The 18,366-nt window shown below is 45.2% G+C and overlaps 1 protein-coding gene across 8 annotated transcripts in view; it reads right to left on the bottom strand.

Annotated features, from left to right (window-relative positions):
• The window catches only part of HGSNAT (heparan-alpha-glucosaminide N-acetyltransferase), a 62,392-nt gene that overhangs the window by 3,876 nt on the left and 40,150 nt on the right, over nucleotides 1-18,366 (bottom strand). For 3 of the 8 annotated variants that reach the window (XM_005273409.2, XM_005273411.2, XM_047421388.1), the window contains 8 exons: nucleotides 16,720-16,835; nucleotides 7,385-7,506; nucleotides 6,550-6,676; nucleotides 5,137-5,223; nucleotides 2,440-2,550; nucleotides 1,955-2,032; nucleotides 1,238-1,308; nucleotides 1,028-1,140 (listed from right to left, as the gene is read on the bottom strand). In XM_005273409.2, coding sequence (XP_005273466.1) covers nucleotides 1,028-1,140; nucleotides 1,238-1,308; nucleotides 1,955-2,032; nucleotides 2,440-2,550; nucleotides 5,137-5,223; nucleotides 6,550-6,676; nucleotides 7,385-7,506; nucleotides 16,720-16,835 — 825 coding nt within the window. Of the gene's footprint in view, nucleotides 1-1,027; nucleotides 1,141-1,237; nucleotides 1,309-1,954; nucleotides 2,033-2,439; nucleotides 2,551-3,482; nucleotides 4,996-5,136; nucleotides 5,224-6,549; nucleotides 6,677-7,384; nucleotides 7,507-16,719; nucleotides 16,836-18,366 lie in introns of those variants that run through there. The other 5 variants (NM_152419.3, NM_001363229.2, NM_001363228.2 and 2 more) reach the window with 3 other exon arrangements.

Here is an 18,366-nt window from a genome sequence, read left to right as displayed (position 1 = left end):
CAGTGAGCCAAAATCACACCACTGCACTCCAGCCTGGGCGACAGAGCAAGACTGTGTCTCAAAAACACAAAAAAGGTATTAGATAATATTCATTTTATAACAGTACAATTCTTGAAAACTAAATCTGAAAGGAAAGCTAAAATTATTATTAATAACTTATATTTTCTAGGCAGAAAATCTGAGGTCCAAAGAATGTAACTATTCCTCGAATCAAAGGGCTGAAATGAGGCATTGAAATGATCTGATGTGTTTCTAAGTCCTCGGTTGGAACTGCATCTAAATCATTCCATTTATCCCTTGATATCACCTCTTGCTATTTCTTCTAATGCACAATCTCTATAGTAGTGGATTTATATTAAGAAAGCAAGCATAGCACCATTATTAAGAACCAGAGGCTGGGCACGGTGGCTCACGCCTGTAATCCCAGCACTTTGGGAGGCCGAGGCGGGCGGATCACGAGGTCGGGAGATCAAGACCATCCTAGCTAACACTGTGAAATCCCATCTCAACTAAAAATACAAAAAATTAGCTGGGCGTGGTGGCGGGCGCCTGTAGTCCCAGCTACTCAGGAGGCTGAGGCAGGAGAATGGCGTGAACCTGGGAAGCGGAGCTTGCAGTGAGCCGAGATCACACCACTGCACTCCAGCCTGGGCAACAGAGCAAGACTCTGTCTCAAAAAAAAAAAAAAAAAAAAAAAAAGAACCAGAAACTGGATAATGTGCCCTGAATCATTTCCGCTCCTCCACAATTTGGTATAGCCTGAAGAAACAGGTGGAGTCACAAACTGTCATACAACGACTCCACAACCTACACGGTGAAAATGGGGTGGACTGCTCTGGAGCAGGCCAGTGACATCTGGTGTGGGCTGGGACAATGTGGGCCCTGCTGCTTCCTCCCTCAGCCTGGCTTTTGGACACCTGCCGCTAGGGCAGTGGCTCAAGACCCCAGCACCAAGGATGCTCCAGAGGTCCCTGGGCCTGCCTCCTGGTCACCATCCCAGCTCTGTTTGAGGTTGGAGGTGACTTACCTGGATAAAAGAATGGGGTTCCTGTCCACAGCCCCTTCACATCCACAACTGGGTACAGGACCAGCAGGATGAAGAAGGCAAAAGAACTGAGCGTAGTGACATACGAAAGGGACCTGGGAGGGGTGGAGGAGACGTTTCAGTGCTCGTACGGAACAAATCCAATTTCAGCATGAACAGTCATCCATAAAATCATGCTTTTTCCATACATACCAGAGATTTTTGTTTACTGGAATAAAGCCTTCATTTTCAGAAACCTTCGTCAGAGCAACAGAAATGAGCCCCTGTAATGGGGAAGAGAAGGATGTTAACATTTTATATTATTATCTCAGAAAACACTTGGTTTCAACACCAATATATATTAGTTATTTAATCACGTAGAGAGGGCTGAAACTTGTGCCTTATATTTTTCTCTTTTAAATGGAAACATATTTTTTTAAATGTATGAACTGAAAAATACTCTCCCAAAATCTCTTCACCATTCTACTGAGTTGAAGAGGGTAAGCTTACTGATTAAATGACAGTGACTCTGAAGAGGAGGCATGGCTGCGGTCAGGATGAAATGAACAAACAGTCAACCTTGCAACTCTCTTTCCCATATAATCTGGAAGTTGATGTCTGCAACCTGGTCTGATTTGCCCAGTCTCTCTGATACGCCTCTCCACACAGAGCCCATACCTCACATTTCTTCAGGCATTCCTGGCTATCTGATGGCAAACACTGCCTTATTGATAAAGACATTTTCCTAAGAAAATAAATCTGTGCATTTAGGTGGAAAGATTTGTTCCTCTCTGTTATTCAAGTGAAGAAAATGGTACCTGCTGCCATGTGGTGACAATGGCTAGCTCAGTGTTGCTAAACATTTTATTCCTTTTAAATATCTATACATGTGAAGGAAAGGAATTTTAGCGAGGAATGCTGCTTACTTACAAGAATACAACACCAAGCAGTGAATCGAATCAGGATGTCTTTGGTCCGAGCCTTGTAATACAATAGTATTTTTCCTGCCTGGAGGAGATAACACAGTGTGACCAAAAGAATCGCCAAAGGGATATTTTTATTTCATATTAATCCACTGTCTTAACTACCTGACAAAGAGATTCACTTGCTGGGCACGCTACTAGGTGCTGGGATTACAGGGAGGCGGGAAACATCACCTCTGCCTTTGACTAGTGGAGACTAACAGAGGAGCATGGGACCAGAGATGAACGCCCTCTCTGGGGAGGAGGAGGCATCAGAGAGGACGAGCCACAGAGGTGAGGCCAGAGCACCAGAGGGTCCCCGCAGGAAGAGGCTCCTGAGCAGAATGGGGCAGCAGGCACAGAGCTCGGGGGAAGCATGGTAGCCACACCACATCTCCACTGCTGCAGGGAATGCAGAAGCCCAGGTCATGGGGAAAGGAGGAGAAGGGGCACCTGGGCAGGCTCCGTGGCTCTTACTTCCAGGCAGGGCCCAAAGAGAATTCTCCACAAAGGTGACAAGGGTTCCGTCAGACAGGCCTGTTTGGTGACCCAGTCTGGGCAGCACTAGGAAGAGGGACCGGGACAGGGTGGAACCAGAGGCAGGGTGGGGGAGGCAGGGAAACATTTAAAAACAGTGAAATATGGACTTCACATACAATCCCTCTGAAATTAGGTATTCATTTTTGAAAACATCAAAGGATGAGAAGCTTTAAAAATAATTTATAGTAATAGCTAATATTAATCAACATTTTTTATGTGCCAGTTCTTAGAACTTTACATGAATTAACTTATTCAATCCTTGCAACACCCTTCTGAAGTAGGTGCTGTTGAAGCACAAGAGGGAGTCAGCCACACGCCCGAGGTCACCCAGCTGGGAAGTGGCAGAGCTGGACACAAACCCAGGGAGCGTGGCTCCAGGTCTGCACTCCTAGCCTCCCCACTGGACTGACCGCTCCAGTGATCTACCTAGAAAGTGTATGTAGGGATTACATGAATATACGGAATATATGGAAAAGCACAATATCAACTAGAAAGTGCTACAGAGATAAAGGCCGTATTTCTAAATACAAAATTATTTCATCACCAAAATGTACAGCTGATCCTTGAACAACACAGGTTTGAACTGCGCAGGTCCACTTATATGCGGATTCTCTTCTGCCTCTGTTACCCCTGAGACAGCAAGACCGACCCCTACTCCTCTTCCACACCCTCCTCCTCCTCTTCTTCCTCTACCCCTCCTCCTCCTCTTCCTCCTCTTCCTCTACCCCCTCCTCCTCTTCCTCCTCCTCCTCCACACCCTCCTCCTCCTCATCCACACCCTCACCCTCCTCCTCCTCCAGCCCCTCCTCCTCCTCTTCCTCCACCCCATCCTCCTCCACACCCTCCTTCTCTTCTTCCTCCTCCTCCTCTTCCTCCACCCCCTCTTCCTCCTCATCCTCCTCCTCCTCTACTCCCTCCTCCTCTTCCTCCTCTTCTTCCTCCTCCTCCTCCTCCTCTTCCTTCTCCTCCTCCTACTACTCATACTCAACATGAAGATGATGAAGATGCAGATCTTCATGATGATCCACTCCCACTTAATGAATAGGACTAGATTTTCTCTTCCTTATGGCTTTCTTAATAACATTTTCTTTTCTTGAGCTTACTTTATTGTAAAAACACAGTATATAATATTTATATAAAATATGTGTGAATCAACTGTTGATGTTATTGGTAAGGCTTTGGGTCCACAGCAGGCTATTAGTGTTTAAGTTTTGGGGGAGTCAAAAGTCCTCTGTAGATTTTCCACTGCATGGGGGGACAGTGTCCCCATGCCCCGAGGTGTTCCAGGGTCACCTGTGTATGCTTCAGATCTGCACTACCCAACAGCCGAACCACTAGCCACAAGTGACCATCTAAATTTAAAATCATATTAAGTAAAATTTAAAATTCAGTTCCTCAGTCACACTCCCCACATCTCAAATGCTCAACAGCGACCCTGGCTAGGGACTGTCCCACTAGATAGCACAGAGGAGAAAAAAAATTTTTTGTTGGCTTCTGAAAAACAGAATTTTATTTCTCACAGTTCTGAAGGTTGGGAAGTCCAAGATCAAGGCACCAGTAGATTCGGTATCTGGTGAAGGCCTGTTTTCAGATAGATGGCGACTTCTTGTTCTGTCCTCACATGGTAGAAGAGGCAAGGCAGGTCTCTGGGGCTTCTCTTTCATAAGGGCAACAATCCCATTCACGGGATGCAGCGTGAGGGCTCCACCCTCATGAATGGCCTTAGAAAAGGGCTTGAGGCAGTAAGTCCTGTCTCTGCCCTTTCACCAGCTGGTGGGGACACCGTGTGAGGACACAGCATTTGTCCCCCCTGAAGGACATGCCCCAATCAAGTTGCCACCTTGGGAGGAGAGCCCAGACCCTCACCAGACAAATGAACCTGCAGTGTTACTGTTCTTTATGAATTACCCAGTCTCGGGTATTTTGTTAGGTCAGGACACACAGACTAATATGAGTGTACATGAAAGAAGTGTGACAAATGACACAGTGACTTCCCAATGTTACCAATACCCACACACTCTGCACACTCCATCAGGAAAACCTTTTTTTCTTTTTTGAGACAGGGTCTCACTCTGTTGCCCAGCCAGGAGTGCAGTGGTGCAATCAAGGCTCACTGCAGCCTCAACCTCCTTGGTTCAAGCCATACTCCTACCTCAGCTCCCAAGTAGCTGGGACTACAGGTGTGTGCCATCATGCCTGGCTAATATTTTTAATTTCTTGTAGAGACAGGGTCTCACTATGTTACCCAGGCTGGTCTCAAACTCCCGGACTCAAGCAATCCTCCTGCCTTGGCTTCCCAAAATGTTGGCGTTATAGGCATGAGCCACTGCAGCTTGGCAAGGGAAACCTTTTATCTAGAAACTGCCGTGCTAAGATAAGCCATATAAGTAAGAATTTTTTTGAGAATATAAGAATTATATCTAATTACTTGAATGTGCTGAATTTCAGTAACTTTTGGTTCTGCACAATCTGTCAAAGATAACAGAATATATTAGGCCCATAGCACAAGAGAGAATATGCTTCCAATTATTTTAATGAAATGGTTTTTAAATGAGTGAATAAAATATCATAAATTGTCAGAAAAAGTAACCTAATGAAATGAACAAATACCTGAACTCCTAAAAAGGCCATCACGATGGAGTTGATGGTGCCCAGGATGCCCTCGGGGTCATAGGCCACCTCGGTGTGGTAAAGTACCTTAACAAACAGAAGCAGAAGGCAGCACTCACTCACTGATCTGAAAACACGTACAAACAGCTCCTAGACCAAATACAAACCTGAATACACTCCAGTATGTCATGGTTTTCTGTTTTTGCTGCAGAAATTCATTGCCAACTTATAGGGATAACAGGCAGAATGCTTCCGGCTAAGAAAGTGTGCAGTGTGGACACTCAGCAGGGAACAGAGACTCCCAGGGACAAGTCACAGTCCAGCAGCCACTGTGATTGCAGCGGGGGCAGCAAACAGCGCTGGCTCCAGGCCTTGTGACATGACGCCTTCCTGACCAGCTTCAAATGCAATGCACGGTACCTTCCTAATTTCCAGATTTATTCTTTTTGGTCAACCCTACTGTAGCAACAACAGCTTCCTATCTTCTTTTAAGGCAAATAACATTTTTAAATATGTTTCTTTTTTTATTATAAAATAAATGTTACTGCAGAAATTGTAGAAATCTGGAAATGAACAGTGTAATTAGGTGCTGTCACACACCCTCAGAGCCCTCCAACCCTTTCAGCACAAAACCTTCATTCCTCCAGCTGCTGGAAGTATTCATGACCACAGCTCTCAGACAGGTGCCTCTTCTGGATCTGCCCTTGACTAAAGAGAGCTACCTCTCCAGGGATCAGCCTTCTGCAGGGGGCCTTCCGCACCATCCAGGGGTAGGAAGGGCCCAAACCTTTGCCTCAATTCAGAACAATTCTGCAGCGCCACCCCGGTGCCCCCAAGATTGGCTGGGGCCTTTGCTGGGGCTACCTACAAAGTTGACCGTGCAGGTCAACTTCTCCCTCTGCACGGTCCTGCCTCCTTTATTCCCCCGCAAGGACTGCCTGATCCACTTCCTGCATGTGACCCTCTGTCTCAGGGTCTGCTGCCAGGAAATCCGACCTGAGACGTACAGAAAAGCACTGTGCTATGATCATTTACACAATGCATTCTCACTTGCTTTTTTTTTTGTTTTTTGTTTTTTTTTTCCTTACAGAGACGGGGTCTCACTATTGCACAGGCTGGTCTCAGATTCCTGGGCTCAAGCAATCCTCTCACCTTGGCCTCCCGAGTAGCTGGGAATGCAGGTGTGAGCCACTGTGTCCAGCTCCACATTCTCACTTTAAAATCCAAAATAATGTTTACACACTGCCATACAGTGATCCCTAAAGTCATTAAGTTAGCTGACTTTTCAAATAATCATCAGTTCTCAGTGTGTTTTCTTAAATGGGCATGGTTTAACGTTTGCTGGCTCTTTCTACTTTCCTTCACTTCTGAAAGCCTGAGTTCCAGTTCTAAGCGAACTCGAGTCTCACTCACAGCAGAAGATGGGTGCTGGTAAAGGTGATCGTCTCCCAGCAGCAGGCGGTCGATGTAGCCTGCAGCTCCTCCAGTGCAATTTGGATACTTGCCAAAATCTCCAATGCCCCCAGGACCAAGATAACCACTAGGAAGGTGAAAAGCATATGTAAATGACAAGACCTCATAAGGGCGAACAGAGGGACAAGAATAAAAAAACCTCAGGCCGGGCACGGTGGCTCACGCCTGTAATCCCAACACTTTGGGAGGCCAAGGCGGGCAGATCACCTGAGGTCAGGAATTTGAGACCAACCTGGCCAACATGGTGAAACCCCGTCTCTATTAAAATACAAAAATTAGCCGGGCATGGTGGTGTGCGCCTGTAATCCCAGCTACTCAGGAGGCTAATGCAGGAGAATCGCTTGAACCTGGGAGGCGCAGGTTGCAGTGAGCCGAGTTCATGCCACTGCACTCCTGCCTGGGCGACAGAGCAAGATTCCATCTCCAAAAAGAGAAAAAAAAAACATGGTTTATATTGGCTATGTATGCAGCCCAATTCAGAGAGCCCCAAACATGAGCCAGCTAAAACGTCCTTCTGGCTCATGCACGCTCACTGACAAACTGCTCCCACACTATGAAGGTGGGAGGCCCGAATTCTATTCAAGCTGACCCTCACACCACCCACAGGGAAATCACTCTGGACACGTGCCAATCTCCTCTCCCCATGCAAAGCAGGCCTCAAAGGAGAAGGAAGAGGGAAAGAGAATTCCTCTGACTCGAGACCTGTGAAAGCCCAGAACCTCTGACTGGGCAGAACAGGACATGCACAAGGGATGACCCCCAGGGGTTCGCTTACGTAGGGCACCCAGGGACTGGCAGGAGGAATGTCAAGCCCAGCCACAGGCCTTCCAGCACCAGGATGAGCAGCCACTGGGGCCAGCTGGACGTGATGTCTCGAAGAGAAAGGCAGCTCCTCTCCTGAGTGGGGGCAGAAAAATAAAACACGGGTGAACTAAATGCAAATAGAAGGGAACTAAGCACATGTCTTTAGGAAATTCCCGGTGACTCATTTCTTGGCCTTTTTGGCAGTAATACAAAAACTTACTGACTACGTTAGGTTCTCCAGATGTTCCCTCTCCATGAAATCTCACAGCAAAACACCCATTCAAAAGAAATCAGCAGACAATTCTATTCCTATACCCAAGAGAACTGAAAACATATGTTCACACAAAAACTTGTACACATACATATAGGAGCATTGTTCACAACAGCAAAAAAGGGGACACAAGTCAAATGTTCACTGACTAATAAATGGGTGAGCAAAATGTGGTGTATCCCTAAAGCGGAATCTAATTCAGCAATTTTGGAAGGAAGTGCTGACATATGCAACATGGATGAACCTCAAAAAATATGCTAAGTGGAAGCAGCCAGGCACAAAAAGCCACGTTATATGACTTCATGTATACGGACTGTCTAGAGCAGGTACATGTGTAGAGACAACAAGTAGGCTGGGGTTGCCTGGGGCTGGGGGAGTTGTGATGTGGGGAGTGACTGGCGGTTAGTGCAGGGTTCTTCGTGGGGTAAGGAAAACCTTCCAGAATTACAGACTGGTGACAGCTGCACAACTCTGAATAGAGCAAATATCATCAAATTGTACACTTTCAACATGGGAGTTTTATGGTACGTAAATTATACATCAATATACCTGTGATTTAAAATTTAAAAATAAAATAAGTAAACTAACGAAATTCAAACTTTTGGATCTCTGTGGTTGAAGGAAGAAAGGGTGCAGCCCACCTGTTCTTAGTGTCCCACTGAACCCCTGACCCTATGGTGATGGCCCAGGATGCACCTCCGCGGACCCTCAGGTCCCACAGAAGGGCTGAAAATAGCAGCTTTCATATCCATGGCTGACCAAGCTCTGTGCCCACTCAGGCACGTCTCGCCTGTCCTTCACCCTAAGGAAATCCACAGCCAGAGGACACATTAATGACAAGGGCAGAGGGGGAAAGAGTAACAATGACTAAAACGCCCCCCAAACTAGATAACTAACATTGTAGGAAGCACCCAGAGAAAGTGAGATTCAGTGATGAACTTGCTAGTTACGTATCTTGAAAGAAGCTAGAAGACAACACGGCTTTATTAACTGATTGTTGAATAGGACCCCAAATGGAAGAATTTAAACATTTCCGTCGGAATTTTTGTCACTAATGGTGGGTGGGGGAAAGAAGTAACTGTCACCTGAGTGAACTCCACCTAGCAATTTATAGTAAGAGAGGAAGTAATCACAAATGAGATGGGACTCCGACATGCTTCTGATAAAGAAGCAATGCAAATAGCCAAGCACAATACCATCACTCTCCCATGCCCTACCTGGGGATTATCCTCAAAATTGAACTTTACAGCATTTGAACAGATACCAAAACGTTACATGAATTTTACACATATATATGTTATGCTACAAGGAAATTGAAAAAATCGCAATAATGCCCCAAGAGACTGAACCAGCAAACTGGATGCTGGTGGTATTATTTAATACTATCAAGAATGGGGTCAGGCGGCCAGACGCGGTGGCTCCCGCCTGTACTCCCAGCACTTTGGGAGGCCAAGGCAGGCAGATCACGAGGTCAGATCGAGACCATCCTGGCTAACACAGTGAAACTCCATCTCTACTAAAAAATACAAAAAATTAGCTGGGCGTGGAGGAGGTTCCAAGATGGCCGAATAGGAACAGCTCCAGTATACAGCTCCCAGTGTGAGCGACGCAGAAGACAGATGATTTCTGCATTTCCAACTGAGGTACCGGGTTCATCTCACTGGGGCTTGTCAGACAGTGGGTACAGCCCACGGAGCAGGGTGGAGCATCACCCCAAGTGCAAGAGGTCGGATAATTCCCTTTCCTAGCCAAGGGAAGCCATGACAGATGGTACCTGGAAAATCGGGACACTCCTACACTAATACTGCACTTTTCCAATGGTCTTAACAAACGGCACACCAGGAGATTATATCTTGCATCTGGCTCGGAGGGTCCCACGCCCACAGAACCTTACTCATTGCTAGCACAGCAGTCTGAGATCAAACTGCAAGGTGGCAGCGAGGCTGGGGGGAAGGGCATCCGCCATTGCTGAGGCTTGAGAAGGTAAACAAAGCAGGTGGGGAGCTTGAACTGAGTGGAGCCCACCGCAGCTCAAGAAGGCCTGCCTGCCTCTGTAGACTCCACCTCTGGGGGCAGGGCATAGCTGAATAAAAGGCAGCAGAAACTTCTGCAAACTTAAACGTCCCTGTCTGACAGCTTTGAAGAGAGTAGTGGTTCTCCCAGCACAGAGTTTGAGATCTGAGAACGGACAGACTGCCTCCTCAAGTGGGTCCCTGACCCCCAAGTAGCCTAAATGGGAGACACCTCCCAGTAGGGACCGACTGACACCCCATACAGCTGGGTGCCCCTCTGAGACGAAGCTTCCAGGGGAAGGATCAGGCAGCAACATTTGCCATTCTGCAGCCTCCACTGGTGATACCCAGGCAAACAGGGTCTGGAGTGGACCTCCAGCAAACTCCAACAGACCTGCAGCTGAGGGTCCTGACTGTTAGAAGGAAAACTAACAAACAAAAAGGACATCCACACCAAAACCCCATCTGTACATCACCATCATCAAAGACCAAAGGTAGATAAAACCACAAAGATGGGGAGAAAACAGAGCAGAAAAGCTGAAAATTCTAAAAATCAGAGCGCCTCTTCTCCTCCAAAGGAACGCAGCACCTCGCCAGCAATGGAACAAACCTGGTTGGAGAATGACTTTGATGAGTTGAGAGAAGAAGGCTTCAGATGAATGGTAATAACAAACTTCTCCGAGCTAAAGGAGGATGTTTGAACCCATCTCAAAGAAGCTAAAAACCTTGAGAAAAGATTAGACAAATGGGTAACTAGAATCAACAGTGTAGAAAAGACCTTAAATGACCTGATGGAGCTGAAAACTGTGGCACAAGAACTACGTGATGCATGCACAAGCTTCAGTAGCCAATTCAGTCAAGTGGAAGAAAGGGTATCAGTGATTGAAGATCAAATGAATGAAATGAAGCGAGAAAAGAAGTTTGGAGAAAAAAGAGTAAAAAGAAATGAACAAAGCTCCAAGAAATATGGGACTATGTGAAAAGATCAAATCTGTGTCTGATTGGTGTACCTGAAAGTGACGGGGAGAACAGAACCAAGTCGGAAAAAACTCTTCAGGATATTATCTAGGAGAACTTCCGCAACCCAGCAAGGCAGGCCAACATTCAAATTCAGGAAATACAGAGAACACCACAAAGATACTCCTCAAGAAGAGCAACTCCAAGACACATAATTGTCAGATTCACCAAAGTTGAAATGAAGGAAAAAATGTTAAGGGCAGCCAGAGAGAAAGGTCAGGTTACCCATAAAGGGAAGTCCATCAGACTAACAGCAGATCTCTCAGCAGAAACTCTACAAGCCACAAGACAGTGGGGGCCAATATCCAACATTCTTAAAGAAAAGGATTTTCAGTCTAGAATTTCATATCCAGCCAAACTAAGCTTCATAAGTGAAAGAGAAATAAAATACTTTACAGACAAACAAATACTGAAAGATTTTGTCACCAGCAGGCCTACCTTACAAGAGCTCCTCAAGGAAGCACTAAACATGGAAAGGAACAACCGGTACCAGACACTGCAAAAACATGCCAAATTGTAAAGACCATCAATGCTAGGAAGAAACTGCATCAACTAAAGTGCAAAATAACCAGCTAACGTCATAATGACAGGATCAAATTCACACATAACGATATTAACCTTAAATATAAATGGGCTAAATGCTCCAATTAAAAGACACAGACTGGCAAATTGGATAAAGAGTCAAGACCCATCAGTGTGCTGTATTCAGGAGACCCATCTCACGTGCAAAGACACACATAGGCTCAAAATAAAGGGATGGAGGAAGATCTACCAGGTAAACGGAAAACAAAAAAAGGCAGGAGTTGCAATCCAAGTCTCTGATTAAACAGACTTTAAACCAACAAAGATCAAAAGAGACAAAGAAGGCCATTACATAATGGTAAAGGGATCAATTCAACAAGAAGAGCTAACTATCCTAAATATATATGCACCCAATACAGGAGCACCCAGATTTATAAAGCAAGTCCTTAGAGACCTACAAAGAGACTTACACTCCCACATGATAATAATGGGAGACTTTAACAACCCACTGTCAACATTAGACAGATCAATGAGACAGAAAGTTAACAAGGATATCCAGGAATTGAACTCAGCTCTGCACCACACAGACCTGATAGACATCTACAGAACTCTCCACCTCAAATCAACAGAATATACATTCTTCTCAGCACCACATTGCACTTATTCCAAAATTGACCACATAGTTGGAAGTAAAGCACTCCTCAGCAAATGTAAAAGAACAGAAATTATAACAAACTGTCTCTCAGACCACAGTGCAATCAAATTAGAACTCAGGATTAAGAAACTCTCTCAAAACTGCTCAACTACATGGAAACTGAACAACCCACTCCTGAATGACTACTGGGTACATAACGAAATGAAGGCAGAAATAAAGATGTTCTTTGAAATCAATGATAACAAAGACACAACATACCAGAATCTCCAGGACACATTTAGAGCAGTGTGTAGAAGGAAATTTATAGCACTAAATGCCCACAAGAGAAAGCAGGAAAAGATCTAAAATTGACACCCTAACATCACAATTAAAAGAACTAGAGAAGCAAGAGCAAACACATTCAAAAGCTAGCAGAAGGCAAGAAGTAACTAAGATCAGAGCAGAACTGAAGGAGATAGAAACACAAAAAACCCTTCAAAAAAATCAATGAATCCAGGAGCTGGTTTTTTTAAAAGATCAACAAAATTGATAAACTGCTAGCAAGACTAATAAAGAAGAAAAGGGAGAAGAATCAAATAGACACAATAAAAAATGATAAGGGTGATATCACCACCGATTCCACAGAAATACAAACTACAATCAGAGAATACTATAAACACTTCTACTCAAAAAAACTAGAAAATCTAGAAGAAATTGATAAATTCCTGGACACATACACACCCTCCCAAGACTAAACCAGGAAGAAGTTGAATCCCTGAATAGAACAATAACAGGCTCTGAAATTGAAGCAATAATTAATAGCCTACCAACAAAAAAACTCCAGCACCAGATGGATTCACAACCAAATTCTACCAGAGGTACAAAGAGGAGCTGGTACCATTCCTTCTGAAACTATTCCAATCAATAGAAAAAGAGGGAATCAACCCTAACTCATTTTATGAGGCCAGCATCATCCTGATACCAAAGCCTGGCAGAGACACAACAAAAAAAGAGAATTTTAGACCAATATCCCTGATGAACATCGATGCAAAAATCCTCAATAAAATACTGGGAAACCGAATCCAGCAGCACATCAAAAAGCTTATCCACCATGATCAAGTCGGCTTCATTCCTGGGATGCAAGGCTGGTTCAACATATGCAAATCAATAAATGTAATCCATCATATAAACAGAACCAAAAACAAAAACCACATGATTATCTCAATAGATGCAGAAAAGGCCTTCGACAAAATTCAACAGCCCTTCATGCTAAAAACTTTCAATAAACTAGGTATCGATGGGACCTGTCTCAAAATAATAAGAGCTACTTATGACAAACCCACAGCCAATATCATACTGAATGGACAAAAACTGGAAGCATTCCCTTTGAAAACTGGCACAAGACAGGGATGCCCTCTCTCACCACTCCTGTTCAACATAGGATTGGAAGTTCTGGCCAGGGCAATCAGGCAGGAGAAAGAAATAAAAGGTATTCAATTAGGAAAGGAGGAAGTCAAATTGTCCCTGTTTGCAGATGACATGATTGTATATTTAGAAAACCCCATCATCTCAGCCCAAAATTTCCTTAAGCTGATAAGCAACTTCAGCAAAGTCTCAGGATACAAAATCAATGTACAAAAATCACAAGCATTCCTATACACCAATAACAGACAAACAGAGAGCCAAATCATGAGTGAAGTCCCATTCACAATTGCTTCAAAGAGAATAAAATACCTAGGAATCCAACTTACAAGGGATGTGAAGGACCTCCTCAAGGAGAACTACAAACCACTGCTCAACAAAATAAAAGAGGACACAAACAAATGGAAGAACATTCCATGCTTATGGATAGGAAGAATCAATATCATGAAAATGGCGATACTGCCCAAGGTAATTTATAGATTCAATGCCATCCCCATCAAGCTACCAATGACTTTCTTCACAGAATTGGAAAAAACTACTTTAAAGTTCATATGGAACCAAAAAAGAGCCTGCATTGCCAAGACAATCCTAAGCCACAAGAACAAAGCTGGAGGTATCATGCCACCTGGCTTCAAACTATACTACAAGGCTACAGTAACCAAAACAGCATGGTACTGGTAGTAAAACAGAGATATAGACCAATGGAACAGAACAGAGCCCTCAGAAATAATACCACACATCTACAACCATCTGATCTCTGACAAACCTGACAAAAACAAGAAATGGGGAAAGGATTCCTTATTTAATAAATGGTGCTGGGAAAACTAGCTAGCCATATGTAGAAAGCTGAAACTGAATCGCTTCCTTACACCTTATACAAAAATTAATTCACAATGGATTAAAGACTTAAATGTTAGACCTAAAACCATAAAAACCCTAGAAGAAAACCTAGGCAATACCATTCAGGACACAGGCATGGGCAAGGACTTCACGTCTAAAACACCAAAAGCAATGGCAACAAAAGCCAGAATTGACAAATGGGATCTAACTAAACTAAAGAGCTTCTGCACAGCAAAAGAAACTACCATCAGAGTGAACAGGCAACCTACAGAATGGGAGAAAAGTTTTACAACCTACCCATCTGACAAAGGGCTAATATCCAGAATCTACAAAGAACTTAAACAAATTTACAAGAAGAAATCAAACAACCCCATCAAAAAGTGGGCAAAGGATATGAACAGACACTTCTCAAAAGAAGACATTTATGCAGCCAACAGACACATGAAAAAATGCTCATCATCACTGGCCATCAGAGAAATGCAAATCAAAACCACAATGAGATACCATCTCACACCAGTTAGAATGGCAATCATTAAAAAGTCAGGAAACAACAGGTGCTGGAGAGGATGTGGAGAAATAGGAACACTTTTACACTGTTGGTGGGACCGTAAACTAGTTCAACCATTGTGGAAGTCAGTATGGCGATTCCTCAGGGATCTAGAACTAGAAATACCATTGGACCCAGCCATCCCATTACTGGGTATATACCCAAAGGATTATAAATCATGCTGCTATAAAGACACATGCACACGTATGTTTATTGCAGCACTATTCACAATAGCAAAGACTTGGAACCAACCCAAATGCCCAACAATGATAGACTGGATTAAGAAAATGTGGCACATATACACCATGGAATACTATGCAGCCATAAAAAAGGATGAATTCATGTCCTTTGTAGGGACATGGATGAAGCTGGAAACCATCATTCTCAGCAAACTATCACAAAGACAGAAAACCAAACACTACATGTTCTCACTCATAGGTGGGAATTAAACAATGAGAACACTTGGTCACAGGGTGGGGAACATCACACACCGGGGCCTGTTGTGGGGCAGGGGGAAAGGGGAGGTATAGCATTAGGGGATATACCTAATGTAAATGACGAGTTAACGGGTGCAGCATACCAACATGGCACATGTATACCTATGTAACAAACCTGCACGTTGTGCACATATACCCTAGAACTTAAAGGATAATTTAAAAAAAAATTAGCTGGGAGTGGTGGCGGGCGCCTGTAGTCCCAGCTACTCAGGAGGCTGAGACAGGAGAACGGCGTGAACCCAGGAGGCGGAGTTTGCAGTGAGCCCAGATCGCGCCACTGCACTCCAGCCTGGCGGACAGAGCAAGACTCCCTCTCAAAAGAAAAAAAAAAAAAATGAGGCCAGGCATGGTGACTCACACCTGTAGTCCTAGCATTTTGGGAGGCTGAGGTGGGTAAATCACTTGAGCCCAGGAGTTCAAGACCAGCCTGGGCAACACAGTGAAACCTCGTCTCTACAATAAATACAATCATTAACTGGGCATGGTAGTGCATGCCTATAGTCCCAGCTACTCAGGAGGCTGAGGTAGGAGAATCGCTTGAGCCTGGGAGGTTAAGGCAACAGTGAGTTGAGATCGTGCCCCTGCACTCCAGCCTGGGTAACAGAGTGAGACCCTGTCTCCAAGAAGTAAATAAAACAGAATGCATTTGAAACTAGCAGAGAGGATTGTGCATGTTCCTGACACAAAGAAATGATAATAACTGTTTGAGGTGATGAATATGCTAATTACCCTGATTTGATCGTTACACACTGTATGATACACAGGTATCAAAATATTACTCTGAGCCTCATAAATATGTACAAGTATTACATATCAACTAAAAATAAGAGGAAAAAAGAATGCATGTGATTACTGTCTGCTGACAAATTTGTTAAGAGGATAGATCTCATGTCGTGTATTTTATAATAAAAAAATTGACATAAAGATTAAAAATAACTAATGAAAGTGAAAATCAGAATGTATTTGATTAGCAGATGTACAGTATTGCATGCAGAAATTTTAGAAGTTCTAAAAACCATATCCCCCTTTGTTCTCCCTTTTTTTAAAAAACACTGTTTTGGCTGGGCATGGTGGCTCACACCTGTAATCCCAGCAATTTGTGAGGCCGAGGCAGGAAGATCACCTGAGTCCAGGAGTTTGAAACCAGCCTGGACAACATAGTGAGACCTTGTCTCTACAAAAGAATAAATAAAACTAGCCAGGCATGGTGGTGCGCTCCTGTAGTCCCAGCTAATTAGGAGACTGAGGAGGGAGGATCGCTTAAGCCTGGGATGTTGAGGCTTCAGTGAGCCAAGATCACACCACTGCACCCCAGCCTGGGCAACACAGCAAGACCCTGTATCAACAACAACAAGAACACAGTTTCTGGCCAGGCATGGTGGCTCACACCTGTAATCCCGGCGCTTTGGGTGGCCAAGGCAGGAGGATCACTTGAAGCCAGGAGTGAGGGACCAGTCTGGACAACATAGTGAGACCGTATCACCACACAATACATTTTTTTTAATTTAAAAAAAGTTTTTCTTAATTAAAACATGGTTTCTCACCGAGGCACAATGTTCAGGCACAGGTTTAGCAAAGAGGAGCTCCAACACAGCAACCACAAAGTATGTCACTCCCAATCGCTGCAGCACACCAGGAATGCGCACCTTGTCCCAAGACACTGCAAAAGACACAAGTTAGGTCAAGTGTTAGCCAGGACTTCTCCTCTCATCCCAGGACAACATTATTTGTTTCCTAAAGGGGAAGACATACCTATATTGCATCTAAGTAAGTCTTTTTTAAGCTCTTGGACATGGAAATATATACGGTCAAGAGACATGGGCTCAGCCCAGCTTCCAAAAACAGGCCAATCCCTCTTAATAGAGGGAGGGTCAGTCAGGGACATGGCTCAAACTCAAAACAGGAAGCTGGCCAGATGAGAGACTGGGATAAGAACCAAAGCGTCTTACTCAGGTGTGGGGATAAAGCCAGGCCTGTGCCTGACCCTGGCTCTTTCCTATTAGGAATTTGCAATCAACCCGCACGTCTGCTAGGACCTTGCAGGCCCAACACAAGCCACTCTCCCTGCCCTACCCACTACCCAGCTGTATCACCCCAAGAACGCCACTGACTGACCCTCCCTGCCCTATCTGCTACCCAACCGTATGACCGGAAGAACAGACCTGACAACAAACCCTAAAATGAATCCTACTGGAAGCAGTGGCTCCCTTTTTGGAGATCCACCAAGTCCACATTCATATGAAACACCATCTAGAAGTGACCTCCACCTCTTGCTAGTGCCTATTAAAGTACATATTGCCTGAGGGCTCCATTTGGCCATTGTCTAGATGTTTGTGTCCTCTTCTGCTAACGACAGTTGCAAGGCCCTTGAGGACAGTGACTAGTGCCCTCCCGACTCTGATACTCATTCAAAGCAGAGGGCTCACAAGCCTTCCCTCAGCTCTGCTGTCCCTGCGCACCACTAAACTAATGACAAAGATATTACTCCTTCCAGAAACCCAGCTGCCATACAAGTGCCAGTGAAGGTGGATTCGTGAACTGCCGCACACTATCGAAAGCTGATGAAATGCTCTCCCTCTCCCTCTCCCTCTCCCTCTCCCTCTCCCTCTCCCTCTCCCTCTCCCTCTCCCTCTCCCTCTCCCTCTCCCTCTCCCTCTCCCTCTCCCTCTCCCTCTCCCTCTCCCTCTCCCTCTCCCTCTCCCTCTCCCTCTCCCTCTCCCTCCACGGTCTCCCTCTGATGCCGAGCCAAGGCTGGACGGTACTGCTGCCATCTCGGCTCACTGCAACCTCCCTGCCTGATTCTCCTGCCTCAGCCTGCCGAGTGCCTGCGATTGCAGGCGCGCACCGCCACGCCTGACTGGTTTTCGGTTTTTTTTGGTGGAGACGGGGTTTCGCTGTGTTGGCCGGGCTGGTCTCCAGCTCCTAGCCGCGAGTGATCCGCCAGCCTCGGCCTCCCGAGGTGCCGGGATTGCAGATGGAGTCTCGTTCACTCAGTGCTCAATGGTGCCCAGGCTGGAGTGCAGTGGCGTGATCTCGGCTCGCTGCAACCACCTCCCAGCCGCCTGCCTTGGCCTCCCGGAGAGCCGAGATTGCAGCCTCTGCCCAGCAGCCACCCCGTCTGGGAAGTGAGGAGCGTCTCTGCTTGGCCACCCATCGTCTGGGATGTGAGGAGCCCCTCTGCCTGGCTGCCC

This window comes from Homo sapiens, chromosome 8, assembly GCF_000001405.40.
Source record: "Homo sapiens chromosome 8, GRCh38.p14 Primary Assembly".
Classification (NCBI taxonomy): domain Eukaryota; kingdom Metazoa; phylum Chordata; class Mammalia; order Primates; family Hominidae; genus Homo; species Homo sapiens.
This window is presented reverse-complemented; position numbering and strand designations above follow the sequence as displayed.